This window comes from Homo sapiens, chromosome 19 (assembly GCF_000001405.40).
Source record: "Homo sapiens chromosome 19, GRCh38.p14 Primary Assembly".
NCBI classification, from domain to species: domain Eukaryota; kingdom Metazoa; phylum Chordata; class Mammalia; order Primates; family Hominidae; genus Homo; species Homo sapiens.
In genome coordinates this window covers 3,828,467-3,850,969 of record NC_000019.10, presented here as the reverse complement: position 1 = coordinate 3,850,969, position 22,503 = coordinate 3,828,467, and the positions used below count along the sequence as shown (strand labels likewise).

Genomic DNA, 22,503 nt, shown 5'->3' with positions numbered 1-22,503 from the left:
GTCCTCCTGTGGCTTTTTCTCTGTCCATGTGCACTGCTGGTGTCTCTTTTTTTTTTTTTTTTTTTTTTTGAAAAGACTGCCCTGTCATCCAGGTTGCAGTGCAGTGGTGAGATCACAGCTCACTGCAGCCTCAATCTCCTGAGCTTAATCGAGCCTCCCACCTCAGCCTCCCAAGGATCCACAGGCGCAAAGTGTGGTTTTTTTGTGTGTGTTTGTTTTGTTGTTGTTGTTGTTGTTGTTGTTGTTTTTCTGTAGAGATGGGATCCCAGTATCTTGCCCAGGCTGATGTCTAACTCCTGGGCTCAAGTGATCCTCCTGCCTCAGCCTCCCAAAGTGCTGGGATTAGAGGTGTGAGCCACTGTGCCCGGCCTCTTCCTTTTCTTATAAGGACCCCAGTTCTGCTCAGATCAGTCCCCACCTGATGACGTCATATAACCTTCATTCCCTCCCTGAAGGCCTCATCTCCAAATACAGTCACATGGGGGTTAGGGCTTCAACATAAGAATTGGGGGCAGGGGGACGTAATTCAGGCCAAAGCTTGTCATGAGATGCCCAGGTGGCTCCTCATGGCTGAGGATAAATCCCAGGTTCTACCTGGCACTGGAGAGCCCTGAGCTGCCTCCCGTCACCCCTCACCCTGATAACCTCTGTCCCTCAGCACCCAGGACAGTCGCCCCACCAGCACTCCTCATTTCTCCCACGCTCCTCTCAGCGAGCCCCTCCTCTTTGAAATCCCAGGCACCCTTCCCCGGGGCTTTTCCAGCCTCTGGGGGAGCCTCCTGGGTCTTCAGAGCAGTTGGCATGCCCCTCCTTCTCCCAGAGGGTGCCTGGGTTTCGCTGCCTCTGCCCCCGCGTCTCTGTTATCTGTGTAGGAGAGGCACTCCATTCCTGCCATCAGACAGCAGAGTGGCGGGACAGGGTGGGGACCTGCGGCGAGGTCAAGGGTATCTTGCCTGATGTCACCCTGACCCTGTATCCCTCACAGGTCCTCAGTCTGCTCACAGCTGTGACGTTCACAGGGTGTAACACTGAAACCAGTGGGAGTTGCCCTGCAGGCCAGCAGGGATGCTGAGACCTGCCCTCAGCCAGCGGACGTCCAGCCATCTGCATGTTGGTCGCACATCCATTTTCCCTGCGCCCTGGCTCAGTGGATTCCAAACTGTAGCGTGCCTGAGCATTGCTGTTCAGGGTTGTCTACAAGAAGAGCGTGTTCTTTTTCATTCACTGTCTTCATGGTGCTGACTCAAGCCTGACTCCAAGTCAGAGGCCAGCCTACAACATCCTGGGGATCCTTCCAGAGTATGGGCTGAACCAGGCAGGAAGCAGCCTTTGGCTCTGTCCACCTGCACAAGGCTACGCCCTGGCATTGAGCTTGTCCTAGACCATCAGTTCTTAACTGGTCAAGGTCTGGGAACATTTGTCATTGTCACGATTTGGGGGAGCTCCTGGCATGGAGTGGGTGGAGGCTGGGGACGCTGCTCAGCACGCTGCAGGGCCCAGAACGGCCCCACCCCAGAGAACAATGTTGTCCCAAATGTCAGAAGGGCCTGAGTTGGAAAGCTCTGCCCTCTGCTGCATGGGCTGTCTGATCTCTGCCATGGAGCCAGTTCACCAACCAGCCGCCTCCACTGTCCTCTTAGGTGGGGTGTCCACCAGGTGGAGACAAAGCTGTGTGCGGAGGCACAGCAGGAGCAGATAGAGAAAGCCCCACAGGTTCCTGCTCCTTCCTTGGGGTCCTGGGCTGAAGGACTCTGCTCAGCCTTCCACCTGAGGTTCACTTGCCCCCACAGCCCTCTGCTGGTGCTGCTCAGCACGCCTGGGCCTCCAGGTTGGAGGGGCAAGGTCTCAGGACCCAGGGAAGCCAGAGAAGAATGGAGCTTCCTCCCCAGAAAGCTACTCACGATTTACTATCTAGTACTGAACGCTTTGTGTTTTTGTTTGTTTGGTTTTTGTTTTGTTTTGTTTTGTTTTGTTTTGAGACGGAGTCTCGCTTTGTTGTCCAGGCTGGAGTGCAGTGGTGTGATCTCGGCTCACTGCAAGCTCCGCCTCCGGGGTTCATGCCATTCTCCTGCCTCAGCCTCCTGAGTAGCTGGGACTACAGGTGCCCGCCACCACACCTGGCTAATTTTTTTTTGTATTTTTAGTGGAGACGGGGTTTCACCGTGTTAGCCAGGATGGTCTCGATCTCCTGACCTCGTGATCCGCCCACCTCAGCCTCCCAAAGTGCTGGGATTACAGGCGTGAGCCACCGCGCCCAGCCTAACACTTTGTGTTTTTAAGAGATGGGGTCTTGCTCTGTTGCCCAGGCTGGAGTGCAGTGGTGTGATCTCAACCTACTAGGTTCAAGAAATCCTCCTGCCTCAGCCTCCTGAGGAGCTGGGACTGCAGGTGCACCACCATGCCTGGCTAATTTTTCTGTTTTGTAGAGATGGGATCTTGCTATGTTGCCCAGGCTGGTCTTAAACTCTTGGGCTCAAGAGATCCTCCCATCTTGGCCTCCCAGAGTGCTGGGATTACAGGTGTGAGACACCACACCTGGCCATGAAAGCTTTTTTCCGAGATGGAGTTTCGCTCTTATTGCCCAGCCTGGAGTGCAATGGCACAGTCTTGGGTCACTGCAACCTCCACCTCCCCCATTCAAGCGATCCTCCTGCCTCAGCCTCCCAAGTAGCTGGGATTACGGGCGCCCGCCACCATGCCTGGCTAATTTTTGCATTTTTAGCAGAGACGGGGTTTCACCATGTTGGCCAGGCTGGTCTCGAACTCCTGACATCAGGTGATCCACCTGCCTCGGCCTCCCAAAGTACTGGGATTACAGGCGTGAGCCACTGTGCCCAGCCATGAAAGCTTTTTATACAAAAGAGGCAGCAGGTCTCAGTCCAAAGGGCTCTAGAGCTGCAACCGTACTTGGATTTCCCTGCCCCTGCACTATATCTTGGGCCGATCATACCCTCTTGTTGAGCTCTGTAGATTGTACAAAACCAAAGAGAGGGCCTGTGGGTGTCCTCCCAGTCTCCATCCTGTCCTGTCTTCTGGCCAGCTTGGTTTGGACTCCGCCCCTCTCCTGTATGTCTCAGGAGAGGGTGGTCCCGGCTCCAGGAGTGGAGCCTGATGATTCTAAATCAGCTCTCCCGGCCTCTTTGCCGTTGACTCTTAGTGCCTTGTGGGTGGTGTAGGGCTCAGGCAGGACAAGAAGCCACTCTAGAATAAGCCTTGGAGCATTGCTTTAATGGCGAAAGATTGGAAACAACGTGAGGCAGTCTAGAAATACGTCTGCAAATTGTTCCCTATGCCTTCCTTCAAAAGGTGAGGCCTGAGCCTCTCCCCGTGTGTGCAGGTCGGATTCGGTGATTCGCTTCTAATTAATGGAATGTGGCAGAAGTTATGCTATATGATTCTTTTTTACAAATATTCTTATTTTCAAAAAATACTTTTTTTTTTCTTTTGAGAAGGAGTCTCGCTCTGTTGCCCAGGCTGGAGTGCAGTAGTGCAATCTCAGCTCACTGCAACCTCTGCCTCCCGGGTTCAAGTGATTCTACTGCTTCAGCCTCCTGAGTAGCTGGGATTACAGGCACGTGCCACCACACCTAGCTAATTTTTGTGTTTTTAGTAGAGATGGGCTTTCACCATGTTGGCCAGGCTAGTCTAGAACCCCTGGGCTTAAGCGATCCTCCTGCCTCTGCCTCCCGAGTAGTTGGGATTACAGGTGTGAGCCACCCCCCTGCCCCCGGCTCTATGAAATGATTCCTGAAGCTGCATCATAACAAGGGCAACTTTCACCTGCTGTGTGTGCCGCCCTCTCCCCTGCTCTCCCTCATATCCCTTGCTCTGGAGGAAGCTGGCCGCCATGTTGTGAGGACACTCAAGCCGTGTGAGGAAAGGCCTGCCTGGGAGGAACAAGGACTGCCACCAACAGTCAGCACCAACTTGCCAACCCTGGCAGGAAGGCATCTTGGAAGCAGATCCTGCTGCCCGCCGCTGACCTCTCATTGGCAACCTCATAAAAGACCCCAAGCCAGAAGCCCGAAGCCCGTCCCAAATTCCTGATCCACAGACACAGTGTTTAAAGCCTCGTTGTTTTGCAAGGTTAATCTATTACTTAGCAGGAGATAACTAACACATAGTATAAATGTCCACCAATCGGATAATAGGTGAATGAATCATGATGTTTTCAAAGTAAACAGTCTTTTCTGTAGAAGTATATTCTGCTTATGTAATTAAGGAAAACAGGTGAATGAATTGTGATATTTTCAAACAAGTAAACAATTATTCTTCTTTTAGAAGCACATTCCGCTTATGTAGTAAGGAAAATGGGAAAAAGGTGAATGAATCGGGACAGTTTCAAACAAGTAAACAGTCTTTTTTTAAAGATGCGTGTTCTGCTTATGTAACTAATCAGTCTTTACATTTGGGAGGCCCAGGGCAGAAGTACAGATGGAAGCCTGCCTACCATATGTCTACATATTTTAACATTACCAACCAAGCTCGCTAAAGTTAAATACAGTATGTTCTGTCCCGCTCACCATGACAAACATACCTTTCTAACAACATACACAAAAACTGTGTGGTGCTGTGGCTTTTCGAGTCGGCAAAACATCAAAGATGGCTGGATTTAATTAGCCCACCCTCCCTATCCATGGGTTCTGCCTCTGTGGATTCAACCAACTGCCGATCAAAAATATTTGGAAAAATGGGCCAGGTGCAGTGGCTCACGCCTGTAATCCCAGCACTGTGGGAGGCTGAGGCGGGTGGATCACCTAAGGTCAGGCGTTCAAGAACAGCCTGGCCAACATGGTGAAACCCCGTCTTTATTAAAAATACAAAAATTAGCCAGGCGTGGTGGCACACGCCTTTAGTCCCAGCTACTTGGGAGACTGAAGCTGGAGAATCACTTGAACCTGGGGGGCAGAGGTTGCAGTGAGCCAAGATTGTGCCATTGCACTCCAGCCTTGGCGACAGAGCAAGACTCCGTTTCAGAAAACAAAAAAGAAAAAGATTTCCATATCATTTCAGTGTATTATGGACATGACCTGAAGCAGCCATCAGGGGCTGAATCCGCGCCCTTTTCCCACACCTTCCTGTGTTGAAGTCCTAACCCTCAGTACCTCTGAATATGCCCGGATTTGGAGACAGGGTCTTGACTTATTTTTAGTTTTTTTCTTTCCTCTTCTTTTTTTGAGACAGGATCTCACTGTTTCCCAGGCTGGAGTGCAGTGGTGTGATCATGGCTCACTGCAGCCTTGACCTCCTGGGCTCCAGTGACCCTCCTTCCTCAGCCTCCTGAGTAGCTGGAACTACAGGTGCACACCACCACGCCTGGCTAATTTTTTTTTTTTTTTTTGTAAAGATGGGGTTTTGTCATGTTGCCCAGGCTGGCCTCAAACTCCTGGGCTCAAGCAGTCCTCCTGCCTCAGCCTCCCAAAGTGCTGGGATTACAAAAGTGTGACCTTGTAGGGACCATGTTGCAGTTTTACCTTTTTTTTTTTTCTTTTTTTGAAATTTTCTTCTTTAATAGAGATAGGGTAGCACTATGTTGCCCAGGCTGGCCTCAAACTCCTGGGTTCAAGCCATCTTCCTGCCTCGGCCTCCCAAAGTGCTGGGATTACAGGTGTGAGGCACCATGACTGGCCCCCCTTTATACTTCTGTAATAAAAAAAAAATTTTGTAGAGACAGGGTCTGACTATGCTGCCCAGTCTAGGGTGCAGTTGGAGAGCCAGGGTCTTTGAAGAGAGAATTAAGTTGAAATGAATTAAACTTAATCAATTTAGCCCAATGCAGAATGGGCCCTAATCCAATCCGACTGGATCCCTGTAAGAAGAGATTAGAACACAGACACGCACAGAGGGACAACCACGTGAGGACACAGGGCAAAGACTGCCGTCTGCAAGCCACAGAGGGACCGGCCCTGCTGACACCTGGATCTAGGACATCCACGCTCCAGAACTGTGAGAATAAATAAGTCTGTGTTGCTGAAGCCACCCAGCTGTGGTACTTGGCCATGACCACCTGGGGCAACCCTGCAGCCCCCTTTCCCAATCAGGGTTCTGCCTGGAAACTGCAGAGCACAGACACTAGCTGCAGAGACTGAGTCCCCCGGGAGTGGGCCACGGGGAGCTCCATTCCAGACTCCAGGGAGGGAGAGGAATTCCTTCCCACGTGGAGGCCTCAGAGTACCAGGCCTCGTTCTCTGCTGGAACCCTGACTCATCTAAAGGATTCAACCACAAGATGCCATTAAACCACAAATGTGCAAAAATTAAATATGTCTTCATTATAAATGCAATTTAAATGTAAAACATTGGGCCAGGCGCAGTGGCTCACACATGTAATCCCAGTACTTTTGGAGGCTGAGGCAGGTGGATCACTTGAGGTCAGGGGTTCAAGATCAGCCTGGCCAACATGGTGGAAACCCCGTCTCTACCAAAAATACAAAAATTAGCCAGGTATGGTGGCAGATGCCTGTAATCCCAGATACTCCGGAGGCCGAGACAGGAGAATCACTTGAACCCAGGAGGTGGAGGTTGCAGTGAGCCGAGATCGCACCACTGCACTCCAGTGTGGGTGACAGAGCAAGATTCTGTCTCAAAAAAAAAAAAGTAAAACATTGAAAAGTTAACTTCATTTGTATGTTTTTTTAAAAGTTACTTTCCTATAATATTCAGAAATTTCTATTAACATTAAAAAGCAAGATAGATGGGTGGAGAGGGGAAGTGATTGGTAGTGGATATGAGGTTTCTTTGCTTTTTATTATGATAAAGTCTAGATAACATAAAATTGACCAGTTTTACCGTTTTATTAATAAGTGCATAGTTCAGTGGCATTAAGCACATTCACGTGGTTGGGGAGCCGTCACCACCATCCATCTCCAGAACTTTCTCATCTTCCCAAACTGAAGCTCTGTCCCCGTGAAACACTCACTCCCCTTCCCCTCCCCGGTCCCTGGCACCCCCCCCCCCACATCCTACTTTCTGTCTCTGTGAATCTGACACCTCTAGGGACCTCCTAGGACTGGAACCACACAGGATTTGTCCTTCTGTGCCTGGCTTCTCTCACTGAGCCTGATGTCCTCACGGTTCATCCACCTTGTAGCCTATGTCAGGACTTGTTTTTTTTCTTTCTTTCTTTTTTGTTTTTTGAGACAGAGTCTTGCTCTGACACCCAGGCTGGAGTGCAGTGGTGTGATCTCTGCTCACTGCAAGCTCCGCCTCCCAGGTTCACGCCATTCTCCTGCCTCAGCCTCCCTAGTAGCTGGGACTACAGGCGCCCGCCACCACGCCCAGCTAATTTCTTTTTGTATTTTTAGTAGAGACAGGGTTTCACCATGTTAGCCAGGATGGTCTCGATCTCCTGACCTCGTGATCTGCCTGCCTCGGCCTCCCAAAGTGCTGGGATTACAGGCGTGAGCCACCGCGCCCGGCCAGGACTTGTTTTCTTTTTAAGGCCGAATCATATTTCACTGTGTGGATGGACCACGTTATGTTCATTCATCCAATTTTTTTGAGACAGAGTCTTGCTCTGTCTCCCAGGCTGGAGTGCAGTGGCGCGATCTCAACTCACTGCAACCTCCACCTCCTGGGTTCAAGCAATCCTCCCAGCTCAGCCTCTTGAGTAGCTGGGATTACAGGCACGCCCCACCAGGCCCAGTTATTTTTTGTATTTTTAGTAGAGACAGGGTTTCACCATGTTGGCCAGGCTGGTCCCGACCTCCTGACCTCAAGTGATCCGCCCGCCTCGGCCACCCGAAGTGCTGGGATCCCAGGCGTGAGCCACCGCGCCCAGCCCATTTATCCACTGATGGACGGTTGGGTTGCTCCTACCTTTTAGCCACTGTGAACAGTGCTGCTGTGAACATTGGTGTAAAATACCTTCTTGAGCCTCTGCTTTCTTTTCCTTTGAGTAGGAACCTAGGAGTGGAATTGCTGAGTCATGAGATAATTCTAGATTTAACTTTCGAGCAACTGCCAGACTGTTTCCACAATGGCTGCACCATTACATTTTCCCTTCTGCTGGGGTTTCATTGTGGGGTCATGAAATGTTCTGAAATGGGCCAGGCACGGTGGCTTACACCTGTAATCCCAGCACTTTGGGAGGCCAAGGCAGGTGGAGCACCTGCAGTCAGGAGTTCGAGACCAGCGTGACCAACATGGTGAAACCCCATCTCTACTAAAAATACAAAAAATTAGTTGGGCTTGGTGGCGTGCACCTGCAATCCCAGCTACTCGACAGGCTGAGGCAGGAGAATCACTTGGACCCTGGGGGCAGAGGTTGCAGTGAGCTGAGATCATGCCCCTGCACTCCAGCCAGGACCACAAGAGCAAAACTCCGTCTCAAAAAAAAAAAAAGAAAAAAGAAAAAAAAGTTCTGAAATGCATTGAAGTGACAATTGTACATCTCTGTGAATATACTGAAAACCACTACATTTTATACTTTAAATGGTTGAATTCTATAGGAAATGAATTATATCTCAATAAAGCTGTCATTTTTTCAGACAAAATGGAAAAGATAATGTAATGACTCAAGTTTTTAGATCAAAATTATATACAGCTACAGGGTTTCTTTGCTTTAAAAATTGAATTGCATGCTGTCTAACATTTTCCAAACATCAATGTGCAATTCTAATGCTCAGGGTCTCTCGTTGCTATGGTAGAGTTACTCTGGCCGGGCACAGTGACTCACGCCTGTAATTCCTGTGCTTTGGGAAGCCGAGGCGGGCAGATCACTTGAACTCATGAGTTCAAGACCAGCCTGGCCAACACAGCAAGACCCCCATCTCTACAAAAAATAAAAAAATTAGCTAGGCATGGTGGTGCACGCCTGTAGTCCCAGCTACTCAGGAGGTTGAGGTGGAAGGATCTCTTGAGCCCAGGAGTTGGAGGCTGCAGTGAGGTATGATCATGCCACTGCACTACAGCCTGGGTGACAGAGCCAGACCCTATCTCAAAAAAATAAAAAAAAAAAAGTCACTCTGCTTTACCTGTGACACATCAGACCTACAAGTTTAAGAGTATTATGGATTTTGGCCAGGTACAGTGGCTCACGCTTGTAATCCTAGCTACTTGGGAGGCTGAGGCACGAGAATTGCTTGAAACTGGGAGGTGGAGGTTGCAGTGAGCCAAGATTGTGACACTGCACTCCAGCCTGGGCGACAGAGTGAGACTCTGTCTCAATACAGTGTCCAGCTCTGTGGCCCAGGCTGGAGTACGCTGGTGCAATCATGGCTCACTGCAGCCTCAAACTCCTGGGCTCAAGCGATCCTCCCGCCTCAAGTCCTGAGTAGCTGGGACTACAGGTGCCCCACCACACCCAGCTAATTTTTTTAATTTTTTGTGGTGACAGGGTCTGGCTATGTCTCAAATTCCTGGGCTCAAGTGACCCTCCCACCTCAGCCTCCCGAGTAGCTGGGACTACAGGTGCTCCACCACACCCGGCTAATTTTTTTTTATTTTTTGTAGGGACAGGGTCTGGCTATGTTGCCCAGGCTGGTCTCGAACTCCTGGGCTCCAGCAGTCCTCTCGCCTTAGCCTCCCAAGGCGCTGGGATTACAGGGGTGAGCCACCGCACCTGCATATTACAAAATGCTCCTCAGTTGCCAGAACCATGCTTTGAACACACAGATCCATGGGTGCATCTGAGACCACAAATCAGACCCACAGAAGAGGAAGGCCACGGCCCCATGGCCCTGCCGAGGAGTGAGGCCTCCTCTCCAAGACCCGTTGCCGGCCGTGTTCCCAACAGGAGGGTTTGCGAAGGGGGTGGTCTTTCCTCCACCCTCCTTGCACTCTGAAACCACGTTGGAGCTCTCTCTGTAGCTGGGAGGCAGAATCCTCAAACTTTGCAAGCATTCTGACGTGGTCGCCTTTTGCCTTCATGGTGTAGAGCCAGAGATGGGGCCTGGGTCTCCCGGGCCCTGAACCGTGGCCAACCTAGAGCGAACAAGGCACCGAGTCACCATGTGCTTCTTCACTCATGCACATGTGTGTGTGTATGTGTGTGATCTGTGCAGTGACCGGCGTGACCTAGATCCATGCTGGCCCCCGGTCACCACCAGCCATGCATGGCCATCAAAATCTAAATTAACTGAAATGAAACAAATTTTAAAATTTAACATTCTGTTCCTCAGCTGCACAAGCCATATTTTAAGTGCTCAGCCTAGCTTAGGCCTGTAATCCCAGCACTTTGGGAGGCTGAAGCAGGAGGATCGCATAAGGCCAGGAGTTGGAGGTCATCCTGGGCAACATAGCAAGACCCCATCTCTACCCCAAAAAAACAAAATTAGCCTTGTGTGATGGTGCATGCCTGTGGTCCCAGCTTCTTGGGAAGCTGAGGCAGGAGGATCACTTGAGCCTGGGAGTTTCGAGGCTACAGTGAGCTATGATCACGTCACTACACTCCAGCCTGAGCGACAGAGCAAGACCTCATATCTAAAACAATCAGGCCAGGCACAGTGGCTCATGCCTGTAATCCCAACACTTTGGGAGGCTGAGACGGGTGGATCACCTGAGGTTGGGAGTTCAAGACCAGCCTGGCCAACATGGTGAAACCTCGTCTCTACAAAAATACAAAAATTAGCCCGGCATGATGGTAGGTGCCTATAATCCCAGCTACTTGGGAGGCTGAGGTGGGAGAATTGCTTGAACCCGAGGGGCAGAGGTTGCTGTGAGCCGAGATCACACCATTTCACTCCAGCCTGGGCGACAGAGCAAGACTGTCTCAAAAAAAAAAAAGTAAAACAAGCAAACAAAAAAGAGCTCAGCCACGTGTGGCTGCTGCTTCTGTACTGGGCGATGAAACTCTAAGATGCAGGGCCTGGGCAGAGGATCCTTTGTCCAGGTAGGAGGACAGCGTAGGGAAGAAGGAGTTAAAATCAGTGAACCGTGTGGACTCGTATCAGTACATTTCAGACAAGGTTTGCCGGGCATTGGAGAAGCGAGTTGCGGGGTGACATACACAATAAGAACATCATTTTGCACACATGTAACTGAAAAACACAACACCGTGTTGTATACAGATTCATACGGAGCCCAGGAGTTAGAGGCTGCAGTGAACTGTGATCGCGCCATTGCACTCCATCCAGCCTGGGCAACAAAGCGAGCCCCGTCTCTGAAACAAACAAACAAAACCTTCATACATATGTAGTTAAAAGTCTAAGAATCATGATTAGACAAGACAGCCACCAACCCTAGGGAGGAAGAAAAAGGAATAGGATCCAGGTGGTGCTTCAATTCTCTGTATTTAAACAATAAGCTCTGACACAAATACAGCCAAACATTAGCACTTACCCATCTCAGTGATATGTGTTTGTTAAGTGGTTTTATGTTTGAAATATTTTGTCATAAAAAAGAAGTGTCATCCCCAAGGAGATTAAGAGAGCTACTGATCACTGCTTTCTGCTTTTTTTTTTTTTTTTTTTTTTTTTTTTTTTTTTTTTTTTTTGACAGAATCCCGCTCTGTCACCCAGGCTGGAGTGGAATGGAGCGGTCTCGGCTCACTGCAGCCTCCGCCTCCGCCTCCTGGGTTCCAGCGATTCTCGTGCCTCAGCCTCCTGAGTAGCTGGGACTACAGGCACCCACCACCACACTGGGCTAGTTTTTGTATTTTTAATAGAGACGGGGTTTCACCATGTTGGCCAGGCTGGTCTCGAACTCCTGACCTCGGGTAATCTGCCTGCCGTGGCCTCCCAAAGTACTGGGATGACAGGTGTGAGCCATGTGCCCGGCCTGGACCACTTTCCTAATCGACTTTTTGGCCAATAAAGTCTCTGAGACTTCCAGAAGAGAAACACAAATCTCACAGTGGCCGATCTGTGGAATCTGAATGTTTCTTCTTTATGGATAGGGCCCTTCTGCTTTTCCTGGGAGAGATGAAAACACCCCACGATGGTGCAGATCAGAGCGTGTGCGGTCCCAGGGGACATGTCCATCCTTCTGTAGAGCTGCCGATTTCTGGTCCTTCAGGAGAATCTTGGAGAAACAGGCTGAGGTGTCTGACAGAGCCCTCCCCAACACAAGCGCCGTTCAGCACATGTGCCTGACCTCCCTAGATGTGCATGGAGCCCCTGCTGCATGCCACGTGCCGCGGCCCCGGGAGACAGCTGGGCAGCTGCAGCTGGTCCTGCATCTCAGGGCATCGGGACCAGGGAGGAGACGGCCTGTGGACAGACGTGCAGTGTATACTGGGTGGTGCCAGGAAGAAGAAAAAGCAGGACCAGGGGACAGAGGCTGATCAGCATCAGGCCACAGGGGCTCCAGGAGGGCTCGTCCCAGGGTGTCACTGAGCAGCCACTTGCAGGCAGCGGGGACGGGAGCCATAGACACGGGGGGATGGGATCGGTGGGATGTGGCTGTGGCAGGGCCTTGGGAGGGCTTTGAGCAGGAGATGGCATGGTTAGGGCTGTACTTTGAAAAGACCCCTCTCTGGCTGCCAGGAGGACAAAGAAATGCTGGCGAGGAGGGAGGAGAGTGAGGGGCTGGGGTGGTCTCCAGCAAGGGCTGTACAGCTGAGGCCAGCTCTGCTCTGCCCCAGCTCCCGTATGGAACCTTCCACCTTCCTCTCTTTGGCTCATCGGTCGGTGCTCAGTGCAGCCTGGATAGCACTCACTCTGTAGTTCTGTTTTCTTCATAGCCACCTACGGGAGGGAGTGTGGGAACAGGAGTACTGCCACTGTCATAGTGTTCATCAGGTGTCTGTAGTCATGCTGTTCATTCAGTGTCCATAGTCACAGTGTTCATCAAATGTCAGTAGTCACGGTGTTCATCGAATGTATTGTCGGGATGTTCATCGGGTGTCACGGTCATGGTGTTCATCGAGTGTCACAGTCACGGTGTTCATTGTGTGTCACAGTCACGGTGTTCATCGAGTGTCACGGTCACGGTGTTCATCGCGTGTCACGGTCATGGTGTTCATCACGTGTCACGGTCATGGTGTTCATCGTGTGTCACAGTCACGGTGTTCATCAAGTGTCACAGTCACATTCATCGTGTGTTACAGTCATGGTGTCCATTGATTGTCACAGTCATAGTGTTCATCAAGTGTCATAGTCATGTTCATCGTGTGTCACAGTCATGGTGTTCACCAGGTGTCTGTAGTCATGGTGTTCAAATGTCACAATCATGGTGTTCATTGAGTGTCACAGTCATGGTGTTCATCGAGTGTCCATAGTCATGGTGTTTGAGTGTCACAGTCAAGGTGTCCATCGGGTGTCCCATAGTCATGGTGTTCATCAAGTTCCACAGTCACAGCATTCATCAAGTGTCATGGTCACGGTGTTCATTGAGTGTCACGGTCACAGTGTTCATCGAGTGTCACGGTCATGGTGTTCATCGGGTGTCCCATAGTCATGGTGTTCATCAAGTTCCACAGTCACAGCATTCATCAAGTGTCATGGTCACGGTGTTCATTGGGTGTCACGGTCACGGTGTTCATCGAGTGTCACGGTCATGGTGTTCATCGAGTGTCACGGTCACGGTGTTCATTGAGTGTCATGGTCATGGTGTTTGAGTGTCCCATAGTCATGGTGTTCATCAAGTTCCACAGTCATGGTGTTCATCAAGTTCCACAGTCACGGTGTTCATCGAGTGTCACAGTCATGGTGTTCATCGAGTGTCATGGTCATGGTGTTCATCGGGTGTCTGTGTCATGGTGTCCATCAAGTGTCCACAGTCATGGTGTTCATGAATGTCCAGCATGTGGACACTCAGGACAAGTGTGTGAAAATGCTAGAGGAATGAATGCTTGAAGCCAGGAGGCAAAGGTTGCAGTGAGCCGAGATTGCACCACTGCACTCCAACCTGGGTGACAGAGTGAGACTCTGTCTCAAAAAATAAAAAAAAGCTGTAACTTTCATGAGGTTTTCCTGTGCCGCAGAGAATGTCTCCTTGTCCCCGGCCCTGACACTGCGGATGACTCACCTGGCTGGCAGGAGTCTACAGCAGGGCCCGGTTGGGGGCCAGGTGGTGTAGAGCCTCTTTGCCTTCTAATCCATTTTCCCCAAAATGACCCTCATACCTTGCTCCTTCCCCTATGGGGTTGGAGGTTCACTTTTTAATATATATCCATAGCGGTATTGGGCTAAAATCTTTACTGATACTTTTCCCTGGCAAATGGGCTTTTAGACTCCAGAACTGTCTACTGGGTAGCTGATATTTAGCTGAACAAGGGGCATTGGGGTCAGAAAGATCTGGGTCTGAACCCTCCCCTGCACTTGACATGAGCCCCTGGTCCTCCTTGGAGGTTTTCTCGTCTAGACCGTGGGGAGCGATGGTGCCGCATGTCCTCTGAAGGGTGAATGAGGCCATGTGGACAAAGGCCTCGGCACTGTGCAAACCCTACAAAGACTCATTCTTTTTAGTGAAGAGTTATTAGTTTAGTGCTAACTAAAGTAATTATTTTAATACTCAGGTGGACTGACTTGTTCTGTTAAAAAAAATACAGTCAGAGCCTGGGCAACATAGTGAGACCCCACCTCTACCAAAATTTTTTAAAGAATTAACTGGGCATGGTTTCACACTTGTGTTCTCAGCTACTGAGAGGCTGAGGCAGGGTTGCTTGAGCTTGGGAAGTTGAGGCTGCAGTGGGCTGTGATCGTAGCACTGAACTTCAACCTGGGTGACAGAGCGAGACCCTTTCTCAAAAACAAATTTTTTTTTTAAAGAGAAAATACGGTTGGCCTTCCGCATTCATAGGCACTGCATCCATGGATTCAACCAGCCAAGGGTGGAAAATATTTGGGAAAAAAATGCATCTGTACTGAACATGTATGGGGTTTTTCCTTCTCATTGTTCCCTAAACAATGGAATGTAACAGCCATCGGCATAGTGCTTACATTGTATTAGGTATTATAAGTAATCCAGAGATGATTTACAGTATATGGGATGATATGTTTAGGTTATATGCAAACACTATATCGTTCTATGTCAGGGACTCAAGCATCCATGGATTTTGGCATCTGAGGGGGTCCTGGAACTCAACCCTTGCAGATAGTGAGGGACAGCTGTACTGTTTTTTGTTTTGTTTGTTTTGAGACAGAGTCTTACTCTGTTGCTCAGGCTGGAGTTCAGTGGTGAGATCATAGCTCACTGCAGCCTCTACTTCCTGGGCTCAAGCCATCCTCCCACCTCAGCCTCCTGAGTAGCTGGCACTGCAGGCGTGTACTATCACACTCGCTAATTGTTTGTTTTTTTTTAATTTTGGTGGAGACAAGGTCTCATTATGTTGTCCAGGTTGGTCTCAAACACCTGAGCTCAAGCAATCCTCCCGCCTTGGCCTCCCAAGGTGCTGGGATTACAGGCATGAGCTACCACACCCGGCCAGACACTGTGCTGTTAAAGTTCAATTTTCTGGCCGGGCGTGGTGGCTCACACCTGTAATCTCAGCACTTTGGGAGGCCGAGGCGGCCAGATCATGAGGTCAGGAGGTTGAGACCATCCTAGTTAACACGGTGAAATCCTGTCTCTACTAAAAATACAAAAAAAAAAAAAAAAGGCTGGGCGTGGTGGTGGGCGCCTGTAGTCCCAGCTACTCGGGAGGCTGAGGCAGGAGAATTGCTTGAACCTGGGAGGCGGAGGTTGCAGTGAGCTAAGATCGTGCCACTGCACTCCATCCTGGGCAACAGAGCGAGACCCTGTCTCAAAAAATAAAAAAGTTCAATTTTCTTTGAAGAATCTTGACATGGAGAAAAAGCCCTGCCACACAAGTAGATCATCTGCAAAGCGGAAGTCAGATGGGTTCGAGTCCCAGCTCTGCCACTGACAGTGCCTCAGTTTCTTCATCTGTAAATTGGGTGCAGTGATAGGCCCAGCATTACAGCGTTGTTGTGAGACGGTGTTAATTTGTGTAAAGTGCTTCCGGCCGTGCCTGGGCTCCTAGGAGGGTCTCCACCAAGCAGGGCAGCTCAGGTCCAGTGGTGGCTGGAATTGACACCGTCAACTCAGTGCACCTGAGAACTCGCTCTAACCTGGTGGGGCTTTGGTGTGTGTTTGTGGTTCTAGCGCCCAGCCTCCGACCCTTCCCCTGCCCACTGTGGGGGCCAGCTATACTGCACAACCCACTCCTGGGATGGACCCTGCCGTGAACCCGGCCTTTCCCCCAGCTGCCCCGGCAGGGTACGGTGGATACCAGCCCCACTCCGGCCAGGACTTCGCCTACGGCAGCCGACCCCAGGAGCCCGTCCCCACGGCCACCACCATGGCTACCTACCAGGTATCCAGTCCTTTCTTTGACCAGCGTTGCCGGGAAACGTGGGTCGCCTTGCATGGGTGAGAGCGGTGGGCTTCCCACAGCTACTCCTTCTCCCAGGCCTCTTAACCGTGATCCTTCCTTCGGGACCCTTCTGCTGGCATTGCGTACCCGTGGTGGGGAGAAATCAGGGCAGAGTCGCTTCCGAAAGAATCCACTGCTCTCGGGGACAGGCCGCATGCGTACCTCCACGTCGGGGCAGTGGGGACAGTGACGGCGCACAGAGCTTTGTCCCAGCTTCAGCAGTGACTATGAAGGAGGAGGAGGGTCGCCTGGGTTACAGGACCCCTCCCTGGTCAGGGCAGATGGCCTCGGCCACCTGGGCCCAGAGAGACCAGGACTCACCCCACCTTCCCCACGCTCCAGATTCCTACCTTCTAAGAGGGAGTCTGTGGTGTGTGGGGTGCACCTGGGTGCTGACGACCTCACCTTCCCAACCGAGGCACTCAGGCTGCAGATCCAGCCACCGTGTTCCCACTTGGTGTCGCAAAGATGTCCCCCGTGACCATGCTCCAATTTCCCAGCTCTGCCACCCGCACCTCGTCCCCAGATTGTGTCGGTCAACGGCATCAGAGGCCACCCTGTCACTCAAGCTCAGCACCCACCTGACCCCACCCTCTTCCTCCCCTCTCCATTTCCTTGCCAAGGCCTCGGGGGCTTCTCCCTGCAAACCCGCCCTCTCCTGCCGCACCAAGCGTCCTCTTGTAAATTGCAGTCGAACTCTTGGAAATTAGTGTCGGCTCCATGACAGCTGCTGTGTCAACCACGCCCCCTGCCCCCTGCCCCCTGCCCCCTGCCCCCTGCCTCCGGGCCAGGGCCTGGTCCTGGGCAGACGCTTAGGAGCCAGCGCTGCAGGAAGGACTAAGTGCAGAGTGCAGTGTGGCAGGGCGCGTCGCACCCACCGCCTGAGCTGCTCTCCTCCGTTCTCTGTCTCTCTCCTGCCGAAACCCCCACATAGGACAGTTACAGCTACGGACAGTCAGCAGCTGCCAGGAGCTATGAGGACAGGCCGTACTTCCAGTCTGCTGCCCTCCAGTCTGGGCGCATGACAGCCGCAGACTCCGGCCAGCCAGGTGAGCCATCTGCAGGGTCGGGGCTGGGAACGAGGAGACGCTCCCCGCAGCACAGGGAAACCTTGGGAAACTTACTTTTTTTTTTTTTTAGACAGAGTCTCGCTCTGTTGCCCAGGCTGGAGTGCAGTGGTGCGATCTCGGCTCACTGCAAGCTTCGCCTCCCAGGTTAAAGCCATTCTCCTGCCTCAGCCTCCCGAGTAGCTGGGACTACAAGTGCCTGCAACCACGCCCGGCTAATTTTTTGTATTTTTAGTAGAGACGGGGTTTCACAGTATTAGCCAGGATGGTCTCCATCTCCTGACCTCGTGATCCGCCCGCCTTGGCCTCCCAAAGTGCTGCGATTACAGGCGTGAGCCACCATGCCCGGCCTGAAAGTTACATCTTTTCTTTTCTTTTCTTTTTTTTTTTTTTTTTTGAGACGGAGTCTCACTCTGTTGCCCAGGCTGGAGTGCAGTGGTGCGATCTCAGCTCACTGCACCCTCTGCCTCCCAGGTTCAAACAATCCTCCTGCCTCAGCCTCCCAAGTAGCTGGGACTGCAGGCACGCGCCACCATGCCTGGCTAATTTTTTTCTATTTTTAGTAGAAACGGGGTTTCACTATGTTAGCCAGGCTGGTCTTGAACTCCTGACATCAGGTGATCCACCTGCCTCGGCCTCCCAAAGTGCTGGGATTACAGGCGTGAGCCACTGCACCCCGTGAAAGTTACATGTTAACCATCCTAGAGGCCGGGCACGGTGGCTCACGCCTGTAATCCCAACACTTTGGGAGGCCCGAGGTGGGAGAATTGCTTGAACCTAGGAGTTCGAGACCAGCCTGGGCAACATAGTAAGACCCCCGTCTCTACAAAAAATGCAAAAAAATTAGCCAGGCATGGTGGTGTGCACCTGTAGTCCCAGCTACCCAGGAGGCTGAGGTAGGAGGTTCGCCTGAGCCCAGGAACTGAGCTGCAGTGAGCTGTGATCGCACCACTGCACTCCAGCCTGGGCAGCAGAGCAAGACCCTGTCTCTAAAAAATAAAAAATAAAAAAAAAAAACAAAATAAAGGCCGGGTGCAGCAGCTCACGCCTGTAATCCCAGCACTTTGCGAGGCAGAGGCGGGTGGATCACAAGGTCAAGCGATCGAGACCATCCTGGCCAACATGGTGAAACCCCATCTCTACTAAAAATAGAAAAATTAGCCGGGCAGGGTGGCGCATGCTTGTAATCCCAGCTATTCGGGAGGCTGAGGCAGGAGAATCACTTGAACCTGGAAGGTGGAGGTTGCAGTGAGCCGAGATCATGCCACTGCATTCCAACCTGGTGACAAAGCAAGACTCCGACTCAAAAAAAAAAAAATAATAATAATGATAATAAAAACATCCTAGATTTGCAGGTGAGCCTCAGAGCTGGCTGCTCAGATGGGCCCTGGGATCTCTGCCAGGTGTGGGCCTATGAATGAAGGAAAGTGAGGACTGAAAATGCAGCTAACATTTTTTCCAAGGAAGCTTTCCCGGGGTGGCAGGAGGTGAGCTCTGTGGGTGATGGAGCTGGAGATGCAGAGGAGCTTGTCTAGGGCACCCACAGCCCTCCTCCCCCATGGCAGGAGAGAGAAGCCGGGCTCTGGAAAGGAGAGGTGGGCACAAGGTAACCTGCGAGTCGCTGCCAGCACCTGGCCCAAGGCTCTGGCCTCTGGTCCTGGCTTAAGCATCTAGCGTGTTCCAGCCAGTTGAGTCCAGGGCCCATCTGCAGGTGAGGGACAGTGGGGTGGGGGTTGGCTCTGCAGAGGGCCTGTCCCTGTCCCCTAGGGACCCAAGAAGCCTGCGGGCAGCCCAGCCCCCATGGCAGTCACAGCCACGCTCAGCCCCCACAGCAGGCGCCCATAGTGGAGTCCGGACAGCCAGCGAGCACCTTGTCCTCGGGATACACCTACCCCACGGCGACAGGCGTCCAGCCCGAGTCGTCAGCTTCCATCGTGACCTCCTACCCCCCGCCCTCCTACAACCCCACCTGCACCGCCTACACGGGTAAGACCAGCGTTCCTTGCCCAGGTGGTCTGCCCGTCGGTCCCCACTTCAACTCAGTGGAATCAGCATCTCCCCCCGACTCATTGTTTTCTCTGCTGCTCAGCACCAAGCTACCCGAACTATGACGCGTCGGTGTACTCCGCTGCCAGCCCTTTCTATCCTCCAGCGCAGCCCCCGCCTCCCCCGGGACCCCCGCAGCAGCTGCCCCCGCCGCCCGCGCCTGCAGGCTCAGGAAGCAGCCCCAGGGCCGACTCGAAGCCACCGCTTCCCAGCAAGCTGCCGAGACCCAAGGCGGGGCCCAGGCAGCTCCAGCTTCACTACTGCGACATCTGCAAGATCAGCTGCGCTGGCCCCCAGGTCAGTCGCCCTCCTGCCATGGGCAGGCCCCAGGGACCTCTCTGTCCCCAACGTCTGAACCCGAATGTGGGCGCCGGTGGGGTGGTCAGGGTCGCTGCCTGCTGAAAGAAGGTCTGGTGTTAACTTGCATGTTGTATGCATGGCCTGTGTGTGCAAGCGCTTGTGTGTGTGTGCAAGTGTGAGTGTGTATGTGTGCGTGTGTTTATGCATGTGTATATGTGTGCATATGTGTGTGCAAACGTGAGTGTGCATGTATGTGTGCTTGCACGTATGTGTGCGCATGTGTGCCTGCATGTGCCTGTGTGTGCAAGCGTGTGTGTATGTGTGTGCATGTGTGTGCGTGTGTGTATGTGTGCGCATGTATGCCTGCATGTGTATGTGTGTGCATGCGCCCGTGTGTGTGTGTGCATGCGTGCTTGTGCTTGGCAGTGCTTGTTTGGGACATACGTGAAAGAATCTTTACCAAACACACGAGCTTGAGATTTTAAAGCTTGCAAATCACCCAGCTGAGATCGTGGGCTCAATTCCTGGAAAGATAATTAGACCCTAGAGCTCTGTCTTTGCAAAACACACACCCTGATCTTCTTTTGTTTTTAATACTCTGAAAGGAAGCTCTGGACCGCGGAGAGACACGGAGTCTGCAATCGCAGACTCTGGAGAGGTGTGAGAAGGCTCAGGACACCGTTATCAGGACCCCTGACCCAGCTGGGGATGGGGGGCCGGTCCCTGCTCAGGACCCCTCCCGCCCCAGATCACCCTTTCCCTGTCTCAGACTCTTTCCTCCAGCAGCTCTCCACTGTGTCTCATGCTGGGAGAGACCCCGGCCTTCTTTGCAGAGTGCTCGCATAGAAGTTTGAGTTTCTTTTGGAGACAAAGTCTCGCTCTGTTGCTCAGGCTAGGGTGCAGTGGTACAATCACAGCTCGCTACAGCCTCCACCTCCTGGGTTCAAGTGATCCTCCCCTCAGCCTTCCAAGTAGCTGAGACAGGTACGAACCACCATGCCCAGCTAATTTTTTAAATTTTCAATAGAGATGGGGTCTCACTATGTCGCCCAGGTCCAGTCTCGAACTCCTGGGCCCAAGCGATCCTCCTACCTCAGCCTCCTGAGTAGCTGGGATTACAGGTGCACACCACCATGCCTGGCTATTTAAAAAAAAATTTTTTTGTAGATACAGGGTCTCACTATGTTGCCCAGGCTGGTCTCGAACTCCTAAGCTCAAGGAATTCTTCTGCCTCAGCCTCCCATAGTGCCAGGATGACAAGCTGAGTCCCTGCGCCAGGCCCGTGTGGGTTATTTAATCCTTATATCTGCCTTGTGGCTACCATCTCTGTGTGGCAGATAAAATCCCAGAGGCTCAGAAAGGGTCAGTACTTTGAGGAACTCAGAGTCAGTTTTAGTGACCCAGGCAGAAATCAAACCAAGATGTGTTGAAGCCCACGTGGCTAATTACTGCAGTATACGCCAAAAGTGCACAAAGACAGCCTACTGGCTGGGTGCAGTGCCTCATGCCTGTAATCCCAGCACCTTGGGAGGCCGAAGCCGGTAGATCGCTTGAGCCCAGGAGTTCGAGACCAGCCTGGGCAACATGGGTGAAACCCTGTCTCTAAAAAAAATTTAAAAATTAGCTGGGCATGGTGGTACGCACCTATAGTCCTGGCCACTTTGAAGGCTGAGGTGGGAGGATCGTTTGAGCCCAGGAGTCCAAGGCTGCAGTGAGCTATGATCACGCTACTGCACCCCAGCCTGGGCGACAGGGCGAGACCCTTTGTCCACAAAAAAACAAAACCCCCCAAAAACCAACAACAACAACAACAACAAAACACACACACACACACACACACACACAAACCTACCTATAGTCCCCCATAATCCCTCCACCCTGAAATGATTTAGCGGTAGCATCTTGGTGTGTATCCTTCCAGAGTCTTCTCTATTCCACAGGCAGTCTCTCTTTCTAAGTTAGTATGTGTGCACAGGGATGCGTATTTATTCTATTGCTTAGGTAATATATTTATGAGGTTCAAGACTGCTAAATTCCAGGCTGGGCGTGGTAGCTCACACCTGTAATCCCAGCACTTTGGGAGGCTGAGGTGGGAGGATCGCCTGAGGTCAGGAGTTCAACACCAGCCTGGCCAACATGGTGAAACCCCGTCTCTACTAAAAATACAAAAATTAGCCAGGCGTGGTGGCAGACGCCTGTAGTCCCAGCTACTTGGGAGGCTGAGGCAGGAGAATGGCGTGAACCTGGGAGGCGGCGGCTGCAGTGAGCTGAGATCGCGCCACTGCACTCCAGCCTGGGCAACAGAGCAAGACTCCGTCTTAAAAAAAAAAAAAAAAAGATTCCTAAGTTCCAGAGAGCATGCATACAGTAAAATGTATGCCTCTCCCACGTCCTATTTTTCTTCCCTAAAACCAGACAATGTCTCTGAGTTCTTGTGTGCCAAGCCGGTGGCCTGCAGGTGACGGGGCAGTGCCCACTGTGCCCCAGTATTTTCAGGGGCATTTTTCAGTCTGCAGAATGTTTATTCTTGGCATTGTCAGGGCGTGTTGGTTTCGTGGCCCTCCTGCCACGTCTTGTCTGTGGCCGGCTTCATTTGAGGATTTCAAGCAGCACACCCAGGATTCTGCCTAAGGGCTTGGCTGTCGCTTCCCCAGACGCAATCAGATATTTTGGGCCCAGTAGTACCGGATGCGTAGGCCTGTGACTCACGGTGGCTTCCCCCGGGTGGAGCCCCTGTGTCTATTAGCAGTTTCCTAAGATGGAAGTGTACGTGACTATCCTTCGGGCAGCAGGTGCCCTTGCTTGGTTTCTGACGTTGAATTCTGAAGTCAGA

The 22,503-nt window shown here is 51.9% G+C and overlaps 1 protein-coding gene across 2 annotated transcripts in view, besides 3 other annotated features; it reads left to right on the top strand.

Moving 5' to 3' along the window:
* Positions 1 to 22,503, top strand: part of ZFR2 (zinc finger RNA binding protein 2) — a 65,015-nt gene that overhangs the window by 18,069 nt on the left and 24,443 nt on the right. For both annotated transcript variants that reach the window (NM_015174.2, XM_011527831.3), the window contains exons 2-5: positions 15,987 to 16,197; positions 17,192 to 17,306; positions 19,092 to 19,310; positions 19,414 to 19,667. In NM_015174.2, coding sequence (NP_055989.1) covers positions 15,987 to 16,197; positions 17,192 to 17,306; positions 19,092 to 19,310; positions 19,414 to 19,667 — 799 coding nt within the window. The remainder of the gene's footprint in view (positions 1 to 15,986; positions 16,198 to 17,191; positions 17,307 to 19,091; positions 19,311 to 19,413; positions 19,668 to 22,503) is intronic.
* Positions 944 to 1,445: an enhancer, noted in NCBI's record as "H3K4me1 hESC enhancer chr19:3849523-3850024 (GRCh37/hg19 assembly coordinates)". NCBI's record gives its function as "activates a minimal SCP1, AML or CMV promoter by ChIP-STARR-seq in naive H9 embryonic stem cells {active_cell/tissue: H9 hESC(naive)}" and the evidence as "EXISTENCE:reporter gene assay evidence [ECO:0000049][PMID:30033119]".
* Positions 7,240 to 7,739: an enhancer, noted in NCBI's record as "H3K4me1 hESC enhancer chr19:3843229-3843728 (GRCh37/hg19 assembly coordinates)". NCBI's record gives its function as "activates a minimal SCP1, AML or CMV promoter by ChIP-STARR-seq in primed H9 embryonic stem cells {active_cell/tissue: H9 hESC(primed)}" and the evidence as "EXISTENCE:reporter gene assay evidence [ECO:0000049][PMID:30033119]".
* Positions 19,128 to 19,717: an enhancer, noted in NCBI's record as "H3K4me1 hESC enhancer chr19:3831251-3831840 (GRCh37/hg19 assembly coordinates)". NCBI's record gives its function as "activates a minimal SCP1, AML or CMV promoter by ChIP-STARR-seq in primed H9 embryonic stem cells {active_cell/tissue: H9 hESC(primed)}" and the evidence as "EXISTENCE:reporter gene assay evidence [ECO:0000049][PMID:30033119]".